Here is a 20,915-nt window from a genome sequence, read left to right as displayed (position 1 = left end):
CAGAGCTTTTCTGTAAACTAAACGTTAATATCAAAAGCACACTGCTGCAAGGCCAGCATCTGGGCCCCCGTGTCAGAATAACAGGCTCTTGTTAGAATATTGATCCACTCTTTAGTAACAAATTGTAAAAACCTATGAAAGGTTATAAAAATCTTAACTTATGGTCAAACTGCTTAAAATTAGATACTTTTTTTAAATAGGATTTTATTAAAATTAGCTTCAAAATTAATAATATACTATACAAAAGTAAAATTTATTTTTCTCTTTTTGAACTAAATTTTCATGTACAATTAATAAAAAATAATTTTTAAAAATTTTACCTTTTGAATAAACTGCAGGGAAAAGAGGAGAGAGAGAGAGACAGATTTAGTTGGTCTCATTGTGCCTTGATTTGGTCTTACTGTTTGGGAAACTGAGTACCCCCTTTATCAAAGAATAAAGGCTTTTGTTTTTTTAAATCTTTAAATTATTGTTTTGGCTAAATAAATGACCTGTGATTCTATTTTGTGATATCAAGTGTTTTAAACCTTTGATATTTGACAAACTTTCCCAAAGCAAAAATGTCAAATTCAAAATTCAGTCTTTTTGACCTCAAACTAACTTTTAAGATATTAGGGTCTCCAAAAGTCCAAGAGAGACATATTATGCTTATTTGGTATTTTAGAATTATACAGAAAGCATATTTTATATGTCAAATATAAAATTATGTGTAACTTTCTTGAGTTTTATTTATTTATTTATTTATTTTTTATTATACTTTAAGTTCTAGGGTACATGTCCACCCATTCTGAGTTATAGCTATATAAATATATTGTTAATATGTATTCCCAGATCACAAAATTTCTAAAATTCTAATATGTCAGTGTATGTTTTCTGTAATTATTATGATTATTACATTAAGTTATTATATGCCACAAAATAACCAAATTGTGTCTTTATGGCTGTCCTAAAATTTTTGTCATCTATAGTTATTATTTTACTTTGATTCTTCTCAAAAAGTGGCTTAGAATCAGTTACAATCCAAAGGATCCTCCTTTAGGAAAATTCATAAAAAGACTCTTGAATGTAGGTTTCTGGTAACTTTAGACATTGTGCCGTTGAACTAGAAAAAAACTTCCAGGACTGCAATTAAAAGGCTGATGTGTACATAAGGAATGCTAACCCAGTATAAAGCAAAACAGGAGTTAATTGCACAGACTAAACTAATAGCGGACCTCTGTGGTATGGAGGTGCATCTGTGCTGCATTCAATTGTTAAAGGTAAAAATTACCAGAAAAAAAATTAAAATGAATTCACCCACATATGGTGGCTCACACTTGTAATCCCAGCATTTTGGGAAGCTGAGGCAAGAAGGGTTGCTTGAGGCCAGGAGTTTGAGACCAGCCTGGGAAACATAGCAAGACCCTGTTTCTACAAAAAGTTTAAAAAAAACCTAGCCTGGCATGGTGGCATGTGCCTGTAGTCCCAGCAACTCAGTAAGTGGAAGCAGGAGGATCATTTGAGCCCAGGAGGTCAAGGCTGTGGAGCTATGGTCATGCCACTGCACTCCAGCCTTAGTGACAGAGCGAGATGCTGTCTCAAAATAATAATAATAAATAAAAGTAAAATAAAAATGAATTCAACTCCCAGGGAAATTGGTTCACTAAATATACATCTATTTTAATGTGAACGAATAAGGAAAAAGTGAAATATTCAATCCCTTGGTTATCACTATCTATAATAGCTAAAATTAAAAATTTAAAAACACTGAGTTGGGCCTTAAGGCTGGACCAAGCTCAGATGTGGGTCTGTCTAAGCTCAGATCACTAGCCTCGAGACTACCCACAAAAGAAAAACTATGCCAGTACACCAGAAAGTACCTCTCACACCTGTGGTTTCCAAGAAGGTAGTCAAAGTGGGGGAAAATGCAACACCAAATAACTATTAAAACCAGAGGATATGATGCAAAGGGATTGTTCCATCTTGTGTTGGTATACCAATTGGTATCATCAGCTTCCCAAAAAAACCTCCTCTAAAATGAATTGTAAAAATAACTAATTTGAGAGGAATGTCTTTGGTTTTAAATGCTGCAAAATGAAAGAGTATGTTTTGGTTAATACAAGACCCGCAGCTCACTACTGAACAATCACAGATCGGTATATATAATTCAGACACACAGGAGGCTATTCCTGAGAGAACGGCCAGCCTGGTGAACTGGATAAAAGCCACTATACGATCTATTTACCCTGAGAAGTGGACTGCCCAACTCCACTTATCAATATTAAGTGGAACACCCCAGAGGAAGCAACCAATATGCTTCATATGCAAGCCATTGGGAACTGGCTTTATAATGATGGGAATATTAACTTTGTGTTTTAAAAATATATTAACTAGTCTTTCTGAGCTTGCTTCCAACAGGCTCCAGTGTCCTACAGATGTGCCTCTTTTCTCTTTGAAGCTGAGAAACCAAGTCATGCTGAAGACCTGGAAATCCCAGCAGGCTGCAAACCAGCTGCAACTACAATGGGTCAGCCCTTTTGAGATGCTGCTGACTACCCACTTATCTGCCAAGTTAGCCAGTGTTAAGCCATGGATTCACCACGCTCAGATAAAACCTGCCCCTCTGGGATCCCTCCAGAAAAAAACAGGCATGCTGTTGTGAACCCTAAGATGGCCTTAAGTTAATATTCAATGCCCAGCCAAAGACCCTAAATAAGAAGTCATAAAGGAAACATGTGCTTTTCAGGTTGGTATTATTCTCCCCAAAACCCTTCTTGCATGCAGGATGTAATGAATCAGAAATAGTTGTTAGTAATTTTTTTTTTTTTGAGACAGAGTCTCACTCTGTCACTCAGGCTGGAGTGCAGTGGTATAATCTCAGCTCACTGCAACCTCCACCTCTCAGGTTCAAGCAATTCTCATGCTTCAGCCTCCCAAGTAGCTAGGACTACAGGTGTGCACCACCATGCCCAGGTAATTTTTGTATTTTTAATAGATACAGGGTTTCACCACGTTGCTCAGGCTGGTCTTGAACTCCTGACCTCAAGTGAGCCACATCTGCCTCAGCCTCCCGGAGTGCTAGGATTGCAGGTGTGAGCCACCACACCCAGCCATGAATCAGAAATACTTTTTAATAGGCTTAGGATTGTTCTCTTGGATTCCTTAAGGGATCCACTTTAATTCTTGGGTGTTTTTTTTTTTTTTAATCATGGTGCTCCAACAAGCGGGATGCCAGTCAGGTAATCCTGAGCACTTCAGATTCAGGGGTGATGTTTGCATTTCCCATCATTATCCCACAATGCACCCCTTAGCATTAAGTAGCCAAAAAGGCAGACAACCATATTCCCCATGATCGAAAAATTGATGAATAGAAAAAAGGGGATTAAAACCAGCCCAATTGTCCCATAGAAATGATATTACGGTTTTTAAAAGAAACATAAAAATTAACCTTCCTGTTTTTAAAATTTAAAACTTACATTTATCTCATCTGAATTCCTTCCTCAAAAAACAGACACTCAGGCAAAAACAAAAACCTAAAACTCATCAGATCACTGTATCCAGACAGAGACGCCAGACCCCTCATCCATCATGATTGCTTCTATACTCCTCCTTAATTCCTATTTTCCCACCTTTCCTGCTATACAAAACCCCCAATTTTAGTCGGTCAGACAAACACATTTGAGACTTTATCTCCTGTTCTCCTTGGCTGCAACACCCCGTTAAAGTTTTCTTCCCTGGCAATAGTTACTGTCTCAGTGATTGGCATTCTGTGTAACAAGCAGCAGAACCTAGACTGGAACCCTGGTGTTTCAGTAACATTACCTTGTAGTAAATGCTGTTGTGTCATGCCCAGATTCACTTTACCAAGCCCAGATCCCACAGATTAAAGGGCTCAGCTCCACAAGACTTCAGACACCAGCCACAAATGGGGTCCCCAGGTGACCCACACTTCTGCCCAGTGGACTATAAATTCAAGGGTTCTGTGACTTTCCCTACCCAGCTTTGATAATTCACTAGAATCCTCACAGAACTCAGGAAAATGCCATACCTACTATTACACTTTATTATGATGGACACACACGAGCAGCCAGATGGAGGGGTACTGAGGAAGCATCTGAATGCAGGAGGCTCTGTCCCTGGAGAGTTGGGATGAGCCACTCTCCTGGATGTGTTCACCAACTCAGAAGCTCTCCAAGCCCCATTGTGTAGGGATTTTTTATGGCAGTTTCAGTAAGTACACATGATTGATTAAATCATTGGCCATTGGTGATTGAACTCAATCTCTAGCCCCTCTCCTGCTCTCAGAGGTGGAAGAGCAAGGCTGGAAGTTCTAACCTTCTCAGTACATGGTTGGTTTTTCCTGTGTCCAGGTCCCATCCTAAAGCTACCTAGGCCCCCTCTGCCCAACAAGAGTCTTCTCATTAGCAAAAGAGTAATTTCCAAGGGTGTTAGGAGCTCTATGCTGGGAACCAGGGACCAAGAGTAAATATATATTTTGTATTTTACCACAGGTACCAATCACCCTCCAGATCTAAGAATGGCTTCAGGCTGGGGCTGCAGTCACCTCTTTGCCCAGCTTCTCCCCTGCCCTATTCTGCTTCACTTGCATCCTTAAAGGTTCCACCCAAGAGCTCTTCTACAAGAAAGCACCTATAAAGCCAGACACATTGGCTTATGCCTATAATCCTAGCACTTTGGGAGGCCAAGGTAGGAGGATGGCTTGAGGCCAGGAGTTCAAGACCAGCCTGGGCAACTTAGTGAGGCCCCGTCTCTATAAAAAATAAAAAAATTAACCAGGTGTGGTGGTGCACGTCTCTAGTCTCAGCTACTCAGGAGGCTGTGGCAGGAAGATGGCTTGAGCCCAGGAGGTTGAGGCTGCAGTGAACTAAGATCATGCCACTGCACCCATCTTGGGCAACAGAATGAGATCCTGTCTCTAAAAAAATAAAAACAATTTACAACAGTAAGCACCTGTACACAAGCCCCATCTCCAGTCCTGTTTCTAGGGCTTCCAATTTAACACACCTAGAGGCTGGGCATAGTAGCTCATGCCTGTAATCCCAATACTTTGGGAGGCTGAGGCAAGTGAAGCACTTGAGGTCAGGAGTTCGAGACCAGCCTGGCCAACATGGCAAAACCCCATCTCTACTAAAAATGCAAACATTAGCTGGGCATGGTGGCACATGCCTGTAATCCCAGCTACTCGGGAGGCTGAGACAGGAGAATCACTTGAACCCAGGAGGTGGAGGTTACAGTGAGCCAAGATCACACCACTGTACCACAGCCTGAGCAACGAAAGAAGACTCTGTCTAAAAAAAGTAAAAAATAAAATAAAACACACCTGGAGCTTTCTACATCCCGTAGGTATCTGTGTTTCTTTCTCGTGCCCTATTTGACAGAGTTTCTTGAGCTCGAATCTATGTCTACTTTATCTTAGCCTTCCTGTAACACCTGTCTCAATGTCTTGCACATATAGAATGCTCAGTAGAGTTTTTGGAATAAGTATTTCATATTTTGGAATCATTTACAGAGCAGGGGTTAAATTCCTGGCTTATTTTCTCTAGTTCTTATTCTGCACCCCCTGCCCTGCAAACCTGCCACATAAGCAGGTCATTTCTCCACCCCTCAAGATGAGGGCAAACAACTTCAGAAACTGCTCACAAACAGGCCCCTGTGGAAATACCTCCAGGCCACTGGCATTCCTGCCTGCTGCCAGAGACCTGGGAGGCTGTTCACTGCCTTGAGTATTTTTGTTCTTTCCAACTTCTCTGCCCCATCAAGTTAAACAGTCCTTAAGAGTAAATAAATGTGGCAAAGATAAAACAAATATTTTTTTCCAGTTGGATTGGTTCATTCCTTGTGTGGGTTCAGATGAGGGAGAACCAGAATGTTTTGATTAAATCAGCCTTTGCCATTAGATGATTTGCTTGTTTACTAACGGCTGGGCTGTCGTATTTCTTGTCATTATCTACCAAAGTGCGAATTCTTGGTATTGTTGAAAGGACTGCTCTGAAAAGGGAAATGGCAAGCTTCCTTAACCTAACGTTCTCACTATGTTACATAGTGTAAAAACACTGAATCAAAAGCATCAGGCAAATGCAACCCTGTAGAACTGCAGAGCAGAGAAATAGGAGACACAAGTGGGTTCTCTCTACATCCCTTTCAGGAGTCTTACAGTGTGTTTCTGATGATGAATTTTTCTACTTTCTTTTCTTTTCATATATTATATAGCCATCTCACTGGGGTGCTTCCATGGTTTGAATTCTGATAGGAAGATAGAGAATGTTGCTCCCAGAGGTCCCTACAGTTTGGGAACCATGGTTATTCCCAACCTAAAAGGTCTTAATGATCACATAAGATGCCACTGCATCATCACGGCGGTGGTGTTTTAGTTATTAGTCCTCCAGAGTGACAGTGACCTCATACTAGTACTAACGATGATGATGCTAGATAACATGTATCGTGTATATCAGGCATTGTTCTAGTACTTTACATAAATTAATGTTTTAATCCTCATCACAACTCTATGAGGTAAGTACCTTTAATATCCCCATTTTACACATGAAAAAACCTGGGGCTCAGAGATGCTAAGTAACTTGCCCAAGCATAGAAGTTCTAAGTGGCAGAGCTGGGCTTTGAACCCAGGTAGTCTGGCTCCAGAGCTAGGTTATAGTATTAGTCATAAGAGCAACCATTAACATTCATTGAGCCTTAACCATATGCCAGAAGTGATTCTTAATTCTTTATGTGTATAAATGTCATCGATTCTTATGAAAATGCTGTCAGATATTTATCATCCTCATTTTACTGAAGCACAGAGAGTCTAAGTAACTTGCCCAGAGTTACCCAACTGGTGAATGAGGGAACCAGGTTTCCAATCTGTGTGGAGCGCCTTCAGAGGCCACACTCCTAACTCCAGCTCTTCTGGTCTTGCTGACAGGTGCTATGAGCTTAGCTTTTGCTTTGTGGAACAGGTCCATACCACTATTGATACTTTGAAAGTATATTCTGTCTCCCCTGGGAAAATACCCATCCAGGGAGCTATAGAACAAGCACTCCCAGAGATCTCATCTGCAGTACACATCTGTTCTGATATTTTTGTTGGCCTGCCCAGCATCTTCCTCCTCCTTTTTGTAAGACCGCCCTAATTTCCTGTTGGGGAATGTATTTCTTTTCTATTGTTGCCACAACAAATGACCATAAATTTAGTGGCTTAAAACAACACAAATTTGTTATCTTATAGTTCTGGAGATCAGAAGTCCAAAATAGATCTCTCTGGGCTAAAATCACAGTGTTAACTGGGCTGTGTTCTTTCTGGAGGCCCTAGGGAGAATCTGTCTCATTCCCTTTTTTAGCTTCTTTTTTCCTTGGCTGGTAGTCCCTTCCTCCAACCTCAAAGCCAGCAATGCCAGGCCAGATCCCTCTTATGCTGCCTTCTCTTTGGTGGTTCCTCTTCCACTTCCTTCTTCTCCTCTTAAAGATCCTTGGGATTACATTGTGCCTACCTGGAAAACCCAGGGTAATATCCCTATGTTACAGTCAATGGATTGGCAACCTTAATTTCCCTTTGCTATGTAACATATTCCTAGATTCTGGGGATTCACACATAGGCCTCTTTGTGGTGGGTTTGGGGACATTATTCTGCCTACTGCAGGGAACCTTCCCTTTCTACTCTCAGACCGTATATTCTGGATCAGTTCAACCCAACAACGGTGGCTCCCAGCACAGGCTTGGAACTTGGACTGGGATTCTTGGGAAAGAGATGCTCCCCTTCTGATGACCGGTCTGATCACAGCCCATCTGCTTGGCAGATGGGTCAGGAACAGGGCCTCTCCCTGATTGATCAGAACTCTTTCTGGACTAGCTGTTAAGTCTTGTGAATATCCTTCCTCTCCACTGCCGGCCCATGCACCAGTAGCTGATGTGTCCACCTTTGCCCAAGCATAAGACAAGCTTTCTTAAAAATGAGGCCTCTTCCTCCTGCTGCTTCTTTAAGGAGATCCTATGGAGTACTTGCAATCTCTAAAAAACAAACAAAGACAACTAGAATAAGATCTATTTAATGATGTCCAAAAAAAAGCTTTCTTGGCAAGTTTGGGATCAGCAAGATTAGAATCTGGCAAGGAGTTTACATAATCTCTAATAAGGATGGAAGATTCTTTTTCTACTTGTCTTAAATACATTCTCTTCAAAATCTGTATGCAGCTCTAAATAAATGAAGCCTCCTTGAGGGCATATTACAGCATTGTCAAAGAGACCCGCTCATATGTAATGACCTGGAGGGAGAATGACAAATGTCTGGATTATACCATGTTTTAATATATTCATGCTATAGGAATGGCCTCAGCCACCACACAGTCACCAAGAAGCCTGGCTGAAGGGCATTCAGAGAAGTGTAGAAAGGCAGGGGCATACATTCTTATTGACATTTAGCCATAAACCTGATTCCCCTTTTGCAAACCCTTCCCACATACCTTGAAAGCTTTTGAATCTCAAGGTCTTCTTGTGGGCCCAATTCTAAGGTTGGGAATGGTAGCTACATCCTGGGAGAAAGAGCCCTAGGCTATGCAAACAAGTGGGTTATTGGCTCAGTTTCCTCAGACACATCATGCTAGGTAAGGAGAGTGGAGTTTGGGCTGCTGGGAGCTGGGAGCATCATCCACTCGGGCATCAAACTCAAGGTGTGGGTGAAGGCAAGAGCAAAGAAACAGGTATTTGAGTTGATCATCAAGGAGGAGGCAGAAGGAGAAGTGGTCTGAAGTCAAGTCAAGTTCAGGACAGAGATAAAAGTACCTTGAATTTCCCCAGGACTTTCCTTATTTTTTATTTTTGAGACAGGCTCTCACTCCTGCTCAGGCTGGAGTGCAGCGGTGCGATCTCGGCTCACTGCAACCTCTTCTTCCCGGGCTCAAGTGATTCTCCAGCCTCAGCCTCCCAAGTAGCTGGGACCGCAGGTGCAAGCCACCAGGCTTGGCTAATTTTTGAATTTTTTGTAGAGACGGGGTTTCATCACGTTGCCCAGGCTGGTCTCAAACTCCTGGCCTCAAGTGATCTGCCCACCTTGGCCTCCCAAAGTGCTGGGATTACAGGCATGAGCCACTGGCCTTTGCTTTCTAGATGGCAATGTAGCAAGGCGTGGTGATTAAGTGTGCAGCTCTGGATCCATCCCACCTGGGTTAGGATCCTGGCTTCACTACTTCCAAGCTGTGTGGCCTTAGCTGAGTTACTTACATCTCTCTGATTTTTTGCTTCCACAGCTGAAAACGACAATGATATTAGCAACTTCACTCATAGTGTTACTGGGAGGATTACTTGAATTAAAGTTTGCAAAGTGCTTAGCACTGAGTTTTTTTAGGACTTAATGACTTGATTTGAGCATCAGGTTAAACCATCTTCTGAGCAGGATTGTATACCAATATTCAGCATTAATTTTGATTCTTTTTCTAGTCTCTTTTGTCGTTCTTTTTCAGCATCCTCAAAATTTAAAAAAAAACCAGTTGATATTCATTTATTAGGATCCTCCTGAAGGATGCCTTCTTAGGTTTCTGTTATGTAAATGCTGTGTAACAAAAGACTCCAAAACGTTGTTGGCTTACCAAAAGCATTTCTTTTCCATCTTTCTATGTAGGTCTGCAGGTTAGCTGGGGCAGCTGATTGGGATCAAGTCTACCCCATATTTCTGTCATTTGCTTGAGCCAACAGCTTACCCAGGACAGTTCTCATGGTAAAGGACAGAGCCTGAGAAGCAAAGCCAAACCTCATGAGCACATTTAAAGCCTCTGATCATGCCCACTAACATTCCATTGGCCAAAGCAAGCCTCACGATCCAGCCCGACATGAGGAAGTGGGGAAACAGACTCTAATCTCTCCAGTAGGAGGCATTGTAGAGCAACATAGCAAAGAAAGGATACATTCCAAGGAGGAAGAAAAGAATTGGGATAATCCAGTCCTATCACAGACAACCTTCATTTTTAATGTTACTTTCTTTTTCATGGAAAATAACTACATTAAAAGGTCATGGCCGGGCGCGGTGGCTCATGCCTGTAATCCTAGAACTTTGGGAGGCCGAGGCAGGTGGATCACCTGAGGTCAGGAGTTCGAGACCAGCCTGGCCAACGGGGTTTAGTGAAATCTCATCTCCACTAAAAATAATAATAATAATAATAATAGCTGGGCATCATGGTGGGTGCCTGTAATCCCAGCTACCCAGGGGACTGAAGCAGGAGAATCACTTGAACCCGGGAGGCAGAGGTTGCAGTGAGCTGAGATCATGCCACTGCACTCCAGCTTGGGCAACAGAGTGAGATTCCATCTTAAAATAAAATTAAATTAAATTAAAAAGTCATTTCAAGGATTTCTGGAAAAAATTGTAAAGCCATTTCCAGAAAATTACCAGAATTGGTAAAATTTTGTCCCATTCCTTACCTGCTGGGCTGGCATCGTGGGTGTGACTTGTGCAGGAGCACAGGACTCCACACTCAGAAGAGCTGCATGCTTGGCTGAATACTCTGCTAATGCTGTCTCACAGTTATTAATTTTTGAACAAGAAGCTCTGCATTTTTATTCTGCACTGGCCCCAACAAATTATGCAGCCAGTGCTGCCTACACATGCTATATTTAGGATCCCAGATGGTGAGAATTAATGCTCAGACTGGTGACCCTGAATCTGTAGGTTTCTGAGTGATCCAGGATTCAATTATAATTATCATTTTTTTCATTCATTCAACATGTTTATTGAGTGCTGTTCTAGGTATCGGGGATAAAACATTGAATCAACCAGCCCTGTCTTCACAGAATTTACATCGTGCCACACTTCCTGTGTCTGCCCAACCAACAAATGACATTCATGTATCAGCTATTAATAGGACATCAGCTACAGACACACATACCAGCGTGTGTCACAAATAGTCTATGTCGGGGATCACATGCAAATCCCAGCAGCCAACAGGAACTCCAGGCATCCCAATCTCTTTCTCTCAAGAAAGCAAATCAGAATGCAAGTGAGTAAGAGTGACATTAGAGAGCTACATCTTAAACCCATTCTGATTTGTAAAGATAAAACAATCTTTCACAAACTTTGCTCTTTTGGTTTTTATTCTAGCCTCTAAAGTGGCAAAAAGATGCATTTAAGAAAGGTTTTCAACCGTGAAGACTGAAATCAAAGAGCAAACTGAGTCTCTGGTTAACATTTCTCAGGGCCTCTGCAAATACTGTGAGAAATGCCACTTTGTGACAGCTTCAGCCAAGCACCAGGCTCATCCTTCAAGAGATCCACTTAACACTGTGTTGCTCAGAGGAGTGGAAAGATGTCAAATTGCTCATCTGCTTGAAAAACCCAAATAGGTGGATTTCATACAGCAGGGATCCTGCCCTGGGAAGGCAACAGTCCTTTTTCTCATTTGATTGCTTTATAGAAATCTGTGCCCTTACCCCCCTTAGCCCCAACTCAAACCAGATTCTTTGCTTCCAGCAAGCCCAGCTGAAGTAAACATGTTAACAACACACATTTGCCTCCCTGAGACAGATAATATCATAGTTCAGCTCCATAAAAGCCTGTTGCTGTAGGCTTCTAAGGCCCTAGTTCTCAAACTTAGCCTGCATCCAAATCACCTGGAGTGCTTGTTAAAATGCAGATCACAGGACCCTACCTTGGAGTTTCTAACTCAGTAGGTCTTGGGTGGGTCCCGAAAATTTGCTTTTCTAGTAAATCCCAGGTGGTGGCTCCTGATGGTCTTTGAGAACTACTGCTCTAGGGCATTGCCTTGGATCCTGAAGGGCTGCATGAGCAATTCTGTCCTCAATGCAGAGAATGTCCCCAAACAAACCTTAATTCTCTTTGGCTTCTGACCACCCTATCTCATTTTCCTCAATTCTCATTCATTCCTCAACTCCCTTTAGCTGGCCTCCTGCCCTGCACTCTATTGAAAATGCTCTCAGTGAAGTTGAAGGTGACAAATTTGCTGCCAAATTTAATGGGCAGGGGACATCATCATTTGGGTATCTGATATGATTTGGGTCTGTGTCCCTGTCCAAATCTCATATCGAATTCTAATACTCAACATTGGAAGGGGGGCCTGATGGGAGGTGATTGAATCATGAGGGCAGATTTCCCCCTTGCTGTTCCCATGAGTAAGTTCTCACAAGGTCTGGTTGTTTATAAAAGTGTGTAGCAGTCGGGCGCAGTGACTCATGCCTGTAATGCCAGCATTTTGGGAGGCCGAGGCAGGTGGATCACCTGAGGTCAGGAGTTCGAGACCAGCCAGGCCAACATGGTGAAACGCCGTCTCTACTAAAAATACAAAAATTAGCTGGGTGTGTGCCTGTATTCCCAGCTACTTGGGAAGCTGAAGCAGGAGAATTGCTTGAACCAGGGTGTCGGAGCTTGCAGTGAGCCGAGATCGCGCCACTGCACTCCAGCCTGGCGATAGACTGAGACTCTGTCTCAAAAAAACAAACAAACAAACAAACAAAAACAAAAAAAAAGTGTGTAGCACCTCCCCTTTCTCTATCTCCTCCTCCTTCTCTGGCCATGAAAGACATGCCTGCTTCTCCTTCACCTTCCACCATGATTGTAAGCTTCCTGAGGCCTCCCCAGCCATGCTTCCTGTACATCCTGGGGACCATGAGTCAATTAAACCTCTTTTTCTTTATAAAGTACCCAGTCTCGGCTGGGTGCGGTGGCTCATGCCTGTCATCTCAGCACTTTGGGAGGCCGAGGTGGGTGGATCACCTGAGGTCAGGAGTTCAAGACCAGCCTGGTCAACATGGTGAGACCCTGTCTCTACTAAAAATACAAAAATTAGCTGGGCATGGTGGCGCACGCCTGTAGTCCCAGCTGCTCTGGAGGCTGAGACACAAGAATTGCTTGAACCCGAGTGGTGGAGGCTGCAGTGAGCCAAGATTGTGCCACTGCACTCCAGCCTCAGTGATAGAGTGAGACTCTGTCTCTAAATAAATAAATAACCCAGTCTCAGGTTGTTCTTTATGGCAGTGCGAGAACAGACTAATACAGTATCTCACCAGCCAGTTTAGCCACCAGTCTACATTGAACTCACTGTTTTCTCAAGCACTCTTCATCATGTTTTTGGGCCTGACAAGCTTCATGTGTTCCCAGCAGTATTTCTGTTATTTGCAGCAACTGCCACTCCCTACTAAGTGTAGTTCAGATGGGATTTTCAATCATAGCACCCTATGGCACTGGCCACAGGGATGGGCCTGTATCCCAGTACTGATCATCTACTCCCCTATCTCTTGGGTCACCATGATTGGCCCAGTGGCAATCAATGACACACACCAAACCAGTCAGAGCCCTTCTCTAAAATTTTATACGGATTTCATTACATCTAAGACTCCATTACAGTAAGAAACACTGTTATTTTATCCATCACTAAGAAATAATACTGCCAATTGGAACAACAAAAAAGGAAGATGACATCTATTAAAAGACGCTTCCGATTTCAGAAAGGTTAAAATTGGGTGGGGCTAAACCTTGCACAGTGAAATTCAAACTAAGATGCTGGGAGAAAAAAGCTCTCTCTCTGGAGTCCCTGAGCTAGGAAGACGTAAATGTCAAGTTGCAACAATACCACCTTCTCTCCATTGCCTGGAGGAAGCAAGTCTGCAATAGGAAAGAATGAGGCCAACACACCAAGAGAAGTGAAAATTTTAAAAAGAGAGAAATGAAGCGGGTAGAGTAGCTCTGTTTCTTCACATCAGTCCTATATCCTTAAATTATTTGAATTCAGTTTCTGTCACTTGCAATCATGGAAGTCCTGATAAATATAATCCCTTTCCCCATAAGCATCCCCAATATTCCCCAAAGTAAATGACTCATTACCCATCAAATTATCCAAATCATACTTAACTCCTTCCTCCTCCTCAACCCTTCTACACTGAACTAATGAGGAAATGTGTTTTCTTCAACTTCCTAAATATCTAATCCTTCCATTTCTCTCTATCTGCACTCAATCTCTCACCCCATCCACCATCCCCCTTTGCAGACCCCTGGGACGGCCTCCTAACTGAGTCTCCTGGTTCTAGTCTTCTCCTATCTAACTCTGGGTCCACGCTGCAGTCAGAGTGATCTTTCCAATAAGAACATCCCTGCCCAAAACACTTTGGGGTCTTCTCATTGTCCTTTCACAGTATGGCCCAGCCTATCTCCCCAGCTTTCTCCAGTTTTTCGAATATTTTTCTGCTTTAGACTTTTTTTTTTTGAGACTGGGTCTCACTCTGTCACCCAGGATGGAGTGCAGTGGTGCAATCACAGCTCAGTGCACTCCCCACCTCCCGGTCTTAAACAATCCTCCCACTTCAGCCTCCTGAGTGGCTGGAACAACAGGTGCGCCACCACACCCAGCTACTTTTTTTTATTTTTCCTAGAGACAGGTTTCACCATGTTGCTCAGGCTTTCTTTAGACTTTTACTTTTCCCTGACTGGAACGTTCCTCCTCGTTCACCTGTGATTTATTCATTTTTGATCCCAGCTTAAACATCACATCATCTAAGCCCAGGTGGACTCCTCTAGTTTCACTGACCTCTTTCACAGTTTCTATGGCATCTTCCTCATTATACTTTCAAAAATCAGCTGTTTACTGTAGCTTTTTATATTTGAAGACATAATAAACTCTTGTTTACACCCAAATCTTTAGAATAATAAACCATATCAGTGAGATGTTAGTAAGAGACAAATAGTCCTTCTCTGGGGGTACTTGGTGGGCTAACTATCTGGACTAAAATGGTAACTATCTCCAGACTCACAGCCAGTCCCAGAGGATGTGCCTCTGCCTTGTGGAAGATGTGGCAGAGAGTGGGTTCTTAGTAACTGCACTAGTTCCCAAGGGCTGCTATAACAAAGTACCACAGATTGAGTGGCTTCAACAACAGAAAAATACTTTGTCATAGTCCCGGAGGCTAGAAGTCTGAGATCGAGTTGTTGGCAGCATTGATTTCTTCTGAGTTCTCTCTCCTTGGTTTGCAGATGGCTGCCTTCTCCCGTGTCCTCATCTCCCCTTCTTATAAGGACACCAGTCATGTTGCATCAGGGCCCACCCCAATGACCTCATTTAACCTTAATACCAATTTAAAGACCCTGATATGGCTCAGCTGTGTCCCCACCCAAATCTCATCTTGAATTGTAGCTCCCATAATTCCCACCTGTTGTGAGACAGGCCCCATGGGAGATACTTGAATCATGGGGGGAGTTTCCCCCATACTGTTCTCATGGTATTGAATAAGTCTCACGAGATCTGGTGGTTTTATAAGGGGGAACCCCTTTCACTTGGTTCTGATTCTGTCTTGTCTGCTGTGATGTAAGATGTGCCTTTCGCCTTCCTCCGTGATTGTGAGGCCTTCCCCAGCCATGTGGAACTGTGAGTCCATTAAACCTCTTTTTCTTTATAAATTACCCAGTCTTAGGTATGTCTTTATCAGCAGCATAAAAATGGACTAATACAGACCCCACCTCTAAATACAGTCACATTCTGAGGTACTGGGTGTTGAGTTAGGACTTCAAGATATGACTTTGAGAGCAGCAGGAGAACACAATTCAGCCCATTACAGTAATGAATGAATGAACCTGTGAAGATTTCACATGCCACCACTTGAAAGAGTCAGCTCTCAAGAGTCACCATCACCTCCGGGAGAAGATGGGGCCAGGCGGTCATAAACCCTCATCCACTGCAGTGGGTTAAATTGTGGCATAAAAAGACATAAAAAGATATGTCCATGCCCTAACACCTTTCACCTGAGAATATGACCTAACATCCTGGTTAGAGTGGGCCCTAAATCCAGTGGTAAGTATCACCATAAAAGAGACATGACCAGGCATAGTAGCTCACACCTGTAACCCCAGCACTTTGGGAGGCCAAGGCAGGAGGATTGCTTTAGCCCAGGAGTTCAAAATGAGCCTGGGTAACATAGTGAGACCCCCAATCTCTACTAAAAATTGAAAATTCAGCCAGGCGTTGTGGCACATGCCTGTGGTCCTAGCTACTTGGGGGGCTGAGGCAGGAGGATTGTCTGAGCCTTGGAAGTCAAGGCTACAGTAAGCCATGATAGGGCCACTGCACTCCAGCCTGGGCAACAGAGCACCCTGACTCAAAAAAAAAAAAGAAAAGAAAAGAAAAAAAAAAAACTTGAAGAGAAGGGAGAAGACACATGGAGAAGGGGCTGTGCAGATGGAGGTAGAGATCAGAGGGATGCGCCTATGAGCTAAGGAACGCCAAGGATGGCGGCAGCCTCCAGAAGACAGGAGCCAGACGTGGAACGGACTCTCCCTGCACCCTGCAGAGGAAGCCAGTCCTGCCGACGCCTTGAGTTTGGACTTTTGGCCTCAGAACTGTGAGACAATAAATTTCCGGGGTTTTGGGCCACCGGTTTGTGGTAATTTGTTACAGCAGTCACAGAAACCTAGCACCTCTACTTCCATTAAAGGGAAGGGAGACCGTGTTCAGGAGATCTGACCTAGGATAGAGAAAGCGAGACACTTCAAAGCTTCATCAGGACAGGTCTGGTTGCTTGAAAAATAGTCCAGTTACCAGCCTAGCCAATCTGAAGATAGTTAGCGTTTTGGCACAGATCAGGGGCCCCCAACCCCCCGGCTGTGGACCAGTACCCGTCCATGGCCTGCTAGAAACCAGACCACACAGCAGGAATTGAGCGGCCGGTGAGCGATCATTACCACCTGAGCATGGCTTCCTATCAGATCAGTGGCGCCACTACATTCTCACGGGAGCACGAACCCTATTGTGAACTGAACATGTGAGGGATCTAGGTTGCCCGCTCCTTATGAAAATCTAATGTGTGATGATCTGAGGTGAAACAATTTCATCCCCAAACCATCCCCAACCCCAGTCTGTGGAAAAATGATCTTCCATGATATAGGTCCCTGGTGCCAAAAAGGTTGGGGACCGCTGGCACAGATACTTAGCCCACTAAATATCCCCAAAATAGAACTCTCTCTTATACCAGGCCTGTTTATTTAGTACCTTGAGGTTGCAGGCATTCTCTCTCTGGCAGATTAAGGACAGAATTTCCTTGTATAATAATAATTTCTTAAATGTTTACTTTCACTGAAGGGTTTCTTTCCCAGAAAGTTTGAAATTAATTTGCTTCGTAATTTCTGGCAACAAATACCGATAGCAAATTTCTTTCCTGGCTTTTGTAATCCCAATGACATCACGGAACCTCCGTCACTGTGGGAAATCGTTCTTCTAGGTAGCTGTGATGATATCACTTGCTATGAAGGAAAGGAAAAAAAAAAAGAAACAACAGGAAATTCTGCATTCAGCTGTTAACTGATAAATGAAGGAGGAAATGGTTTTGAAAGTAAGTTCCCATAACTAAGCAGCCTTCTCCATTACTTAGCTTTATTTATTTAATGTATTTATTTGCACAATCTCACTGGTAGTACAAGTCCCTAGTCAAAAAGGCTTTTCACTCCCAGCAAATTAGGGAACATAGGCCAGAGCCCCTCACTTTGGGGGACCCCTGTTCACACAGAGGATCTAAAAAAAGATCTGGGCAAAGAACAAAAAGAAAGAGAGGGAAAGGAGGAGGAAGAGGAAAGGAGGAAAGGGAAGGGGGAAGGGAATAAGATGAAATGAAATACAGATACCAATAAACATTTGACCTAGGTAACCTCACTAATTGTATTAGACAAGGTTCTCCAGAGAAGCAGAACCCATAGGATGGGTGTGTGTGTGTGTATGTATATGTATGTGTGCATGTGTAATTATATATAAAGAGACATTTAGATTAGTTTAGCTAATGATCACCCAGGGAAGCATAAAGGTGAGATCTCAGAAAATCTGGAAAAGGAGCAAAATTGTGGAAGCAGATCCACCTGGCAAGCTGTTCATAGGTGGCCTTAATACAGAACCTAATGAAAAGGCTCTTTAAGCAGTATTTGGGAAATATGGCCACATAGCAGAAGTTCTTTTGATGAAGGATGGGAAAATCAAGTCCAGAGACTTTGCATTGATTACTTTTGAGAGCCCTGCAGATGCTAAGAATGCTGCCAACGATATGAAGGGAAAGTCTTTGGATGGAAAAGCAATTCAAGTAGAGCAAGCCAACGAACCATCTTTTGAAAGTGGTGTTAGGTGGAGACCACCATCTCCTTCGAGAAACAGAGGCCCTCCAAGATGTCTGAGATGTGGAAGAAAAGGTAGTGGAGGAGCAAAAGGGCATCCCTCAGGTGGAGGACACATGGATGATGGCGGATACACTCTTAATGCCAACATGAGTTCTTCTAGGACAGGGGTCCCCAGCCTTTTGGGCACCAGGGGCCAGTTTCATGAAAGACAATTTTTCTATAGACCAGGGGTCGGGGGGGATGGTTTCGGGATGAAACTGTTCCACCTCAGATCATCAGGTATTAGATTCTCATAAGGAGCACAAAACCTACCCATATTATGGAGGTAATCTGCTTTACTCAAAGTCTACTGATTTAAATATTGTTTTGTTTTGTTCGAGACAGGGTCTCATTGTGTTGCCCAGACCGGAATGCAGTAGCACAGTTATGGCTCACTGCAGACTCAACCTCCAAGGTGCAATTGATCCTCCCACCTCAGCCTCCCAAGTAGCTGGGACTACAGGTACACATCACCAAGCCTGGCTAATTTTCTTTTCTTTCCTTTTTTTTGTAGAGACAAGGTTTTGTCATGTCGCCCAGGCTGGTCTTCAACTTCTGGGCTCAAGGGATCCTCTCCCCTAGGCCTCCCAAAGTGCTGGGATTACAGGCATGATCCACCGTACCCAGCCTAAATTTAAGTCGCATCTAAAAAGATACCATCACAGCAACGTCTAGACTGGTGTTTGACCAAAAACTGGGTACCAGAGCCTAGCCAAATGGACACATAAAATTAGCCATCAAGCTAATAATAAAAATAGCAAGTATGATTGACAATAAGCTATTTTTTACCCAGCAGGTTTACAGGGATTAAAAAAGAATCTCACTCAGTTTTGTTAAGGAATAAGAGGACACTTGTGTACCATTGTGGGCCTACAGACATCAACTTTTCTGAGGGCATTTTGACAGTATCAAAATGGAAAGTGCGTATACCTTTTGAGAAATAAAAATAAAATTCTTTTTTTTTTCTCTTTTTTTTTTTTTTTTTTTTTTTGAGATGGAGTCTTGCTCTGTCACCCAGGCTGGAGTGCAGTGGTGTGATCTCAGCTCACTGCAACCTCCACCTCCCGGTTCAAGTGATTCTCCTGCCTCCGCCTCCTGGGTAGTTGGGACTACAGGTGCCCACTGCCACGCCTGGCTGTTTTGTGTGTGTGTGTGTGTGTGTGTGTGTGTATTTTAGTTGAGATGGGGTTTTACCATGTTGCCCAGGCTGCTCTTGAACTCCTGAGCTCAGGCAATCTGCCCACCTCAGCCTCCCAAAGTACTAGTATTACAGGCATGAGCCTCTGCGCCTGGCCTTTATTTTAACTCCTGACCTCAGGTGATCCACCTACCTCTGCCTCCCAAAGTGCTGGGATTACAGACATGAGCCACTGCACCTGATCATGCATTTTAACAAATAAGTCCTTTCTCTCTGACTTTTCTTCCATCACAATCTTCCTCGTGTCAGAGAACTCTGGAGTGCCCCTGGACACTATGGAATCTGGCTTGGGGATACGCGAAGTCGGGTGTAGTGGATGTGTGTATGTGTTTAGTAATCACTGCCATGTCGTCTTGTTATTGTACAGATGGTCCCCAACTTATGATTTTTTGACTTTACAATGGTGCAAAAGTGGTACACACTCAGTAGAAATCATACTTGGCATTTTGAATTGGGATCTTTTCCTGGGCTAGCAATATTCAATAGTACTCTCAAGATGCTGAACAGTGGTATCAACCACAGCTGCCAGCCAGCCATGAGATCAGGAGGGTAAACAACTGATACTGTACTCTACAATGTACTGTATTCAGTACGTTACATGAGATGTTCTACACTTTATTATAAAACACGCTTGTGTTTGATGATTTTGTCCAACTGTAGGCTCATGTAAGTGTCCTGAGCACAGTTAAGGTAGGCTGGGCTGAGCTATGATATTCAGTAGGTTAGGTGCATTTCCTTTTTGTTCCCTCTTTTTTTTTTTTTTTTAGAGACAGGGTCTCACTTTGTTGCCCAGGCTGGAGTGCCATCATGCCATCATAGCTCACTGCAGTCTCTACTTCCCAGGCTCAAGCGATCCTCCCCCCTCCATCTCCCAAGTAGCTAGGACTACAGGCATGTGCCACCATGCTTGGCTAATTTTTAAATTTTTTTGTAGAGACAGGGTCTCATTATGTTGCCCAGGCTGATCTAGAACTCCTGGGCTCAAGCAATCCTCCCACCTTGGCCTCTCAAAATGCTGGGATTACAGGCATGAGCCACCATACCTGGCTATATTTCTGACTTAGGATATTTTCAATTTATGGTAGGTATATCAGGATGCAATTCCATCTAAGTTGAGGAGCATCTGTATTTGTACCTAAAATTGTATTCTTTATTCAAGAGGGTTTCCAAAATTATAACATTTCCCCAGTCTCCTCAAAGCTAGGTCTGCCCACACACTGAGGCACAATGTCATTTGCTTCAGACTCATGTCTCTATCCCCCAGAGTAATCTTGGACTTTGATGGCTTTGTCCTGATCTTAGTTTTATAGCATTGTACTTGTAGGTTGGCCCCTAATTTCCAATTAAGTGCAGCCCTTAGCTCAGAGTATGGCTTCTAACCCACACTTCTTTGTTCATTTTCTTTTTATACCTCTCTCCACCATTCCTCTGCGTACACACACACACACACACATACACACACACACACTCTTAAGTATCAAAGGCTGGAGTGCAGATTGGCCGTGAGTCATTCTTTAAAAATGAGCTTGAATGGACAAGGCAAACAATTTTCAGGAATGCCCACAGTTGCCTGTCTTTATTTTAGAGGACTAGAGTAGGAAA

General features: G+C 43.2%; 1 long non-coding RNA gene across 1 annotated transcript, besides 1 other annotated feature; it reads left to right on the top strand.

The window, feature by feature from the left end:
• Positions 8,117 to 8,317: a silencer, noted in NCBI's record as "peak1894 fragment used in MPRA reporter construct". NCBI's record gives its function as "represses an SCP1 promoter by STARR-seq MPRAs in K562 erythroleukemia cells {active_cell/tissue: K562}" and the evidence as "EXISTENCE:reporter gene assay evidence [ECO:0000049][PMID:32103011]".
• Positions 10,189 to 14,623, top strand: LOC124902985 (uncharacterized). The gene is made up of 2 exons (XR_007063408.1): positions 10,189 to 10,979; positions 11,081 to 14,623. It is a non-coding gene; the product is annotated as an uncharacterized LOC124902985 (long non-coding RNA).
• The last annotated feature ends 6,292 nt before the right edge of the window (positions 14,624 to 20,915 follow it).

The sequence above is a fragment of the Homo sapiens genome, chromosome 12, assembly GCF_000001405.40.
Source record: "Homo sapiens chromosome 12, GRCh38.p14 Primary Assembly".
In the NCBI taxonomy this organism is placed as follows: Eukaryota; Metazoa; Chordata; class Mammalia; order Primates; family Hominidae; genus Homo; species Homo sapiens.
The sequence above is the reverse complement of the archived record's forward strand: the minus strand, read 5'-3'. Positions and strand labels throughout refer to the sequence as shown.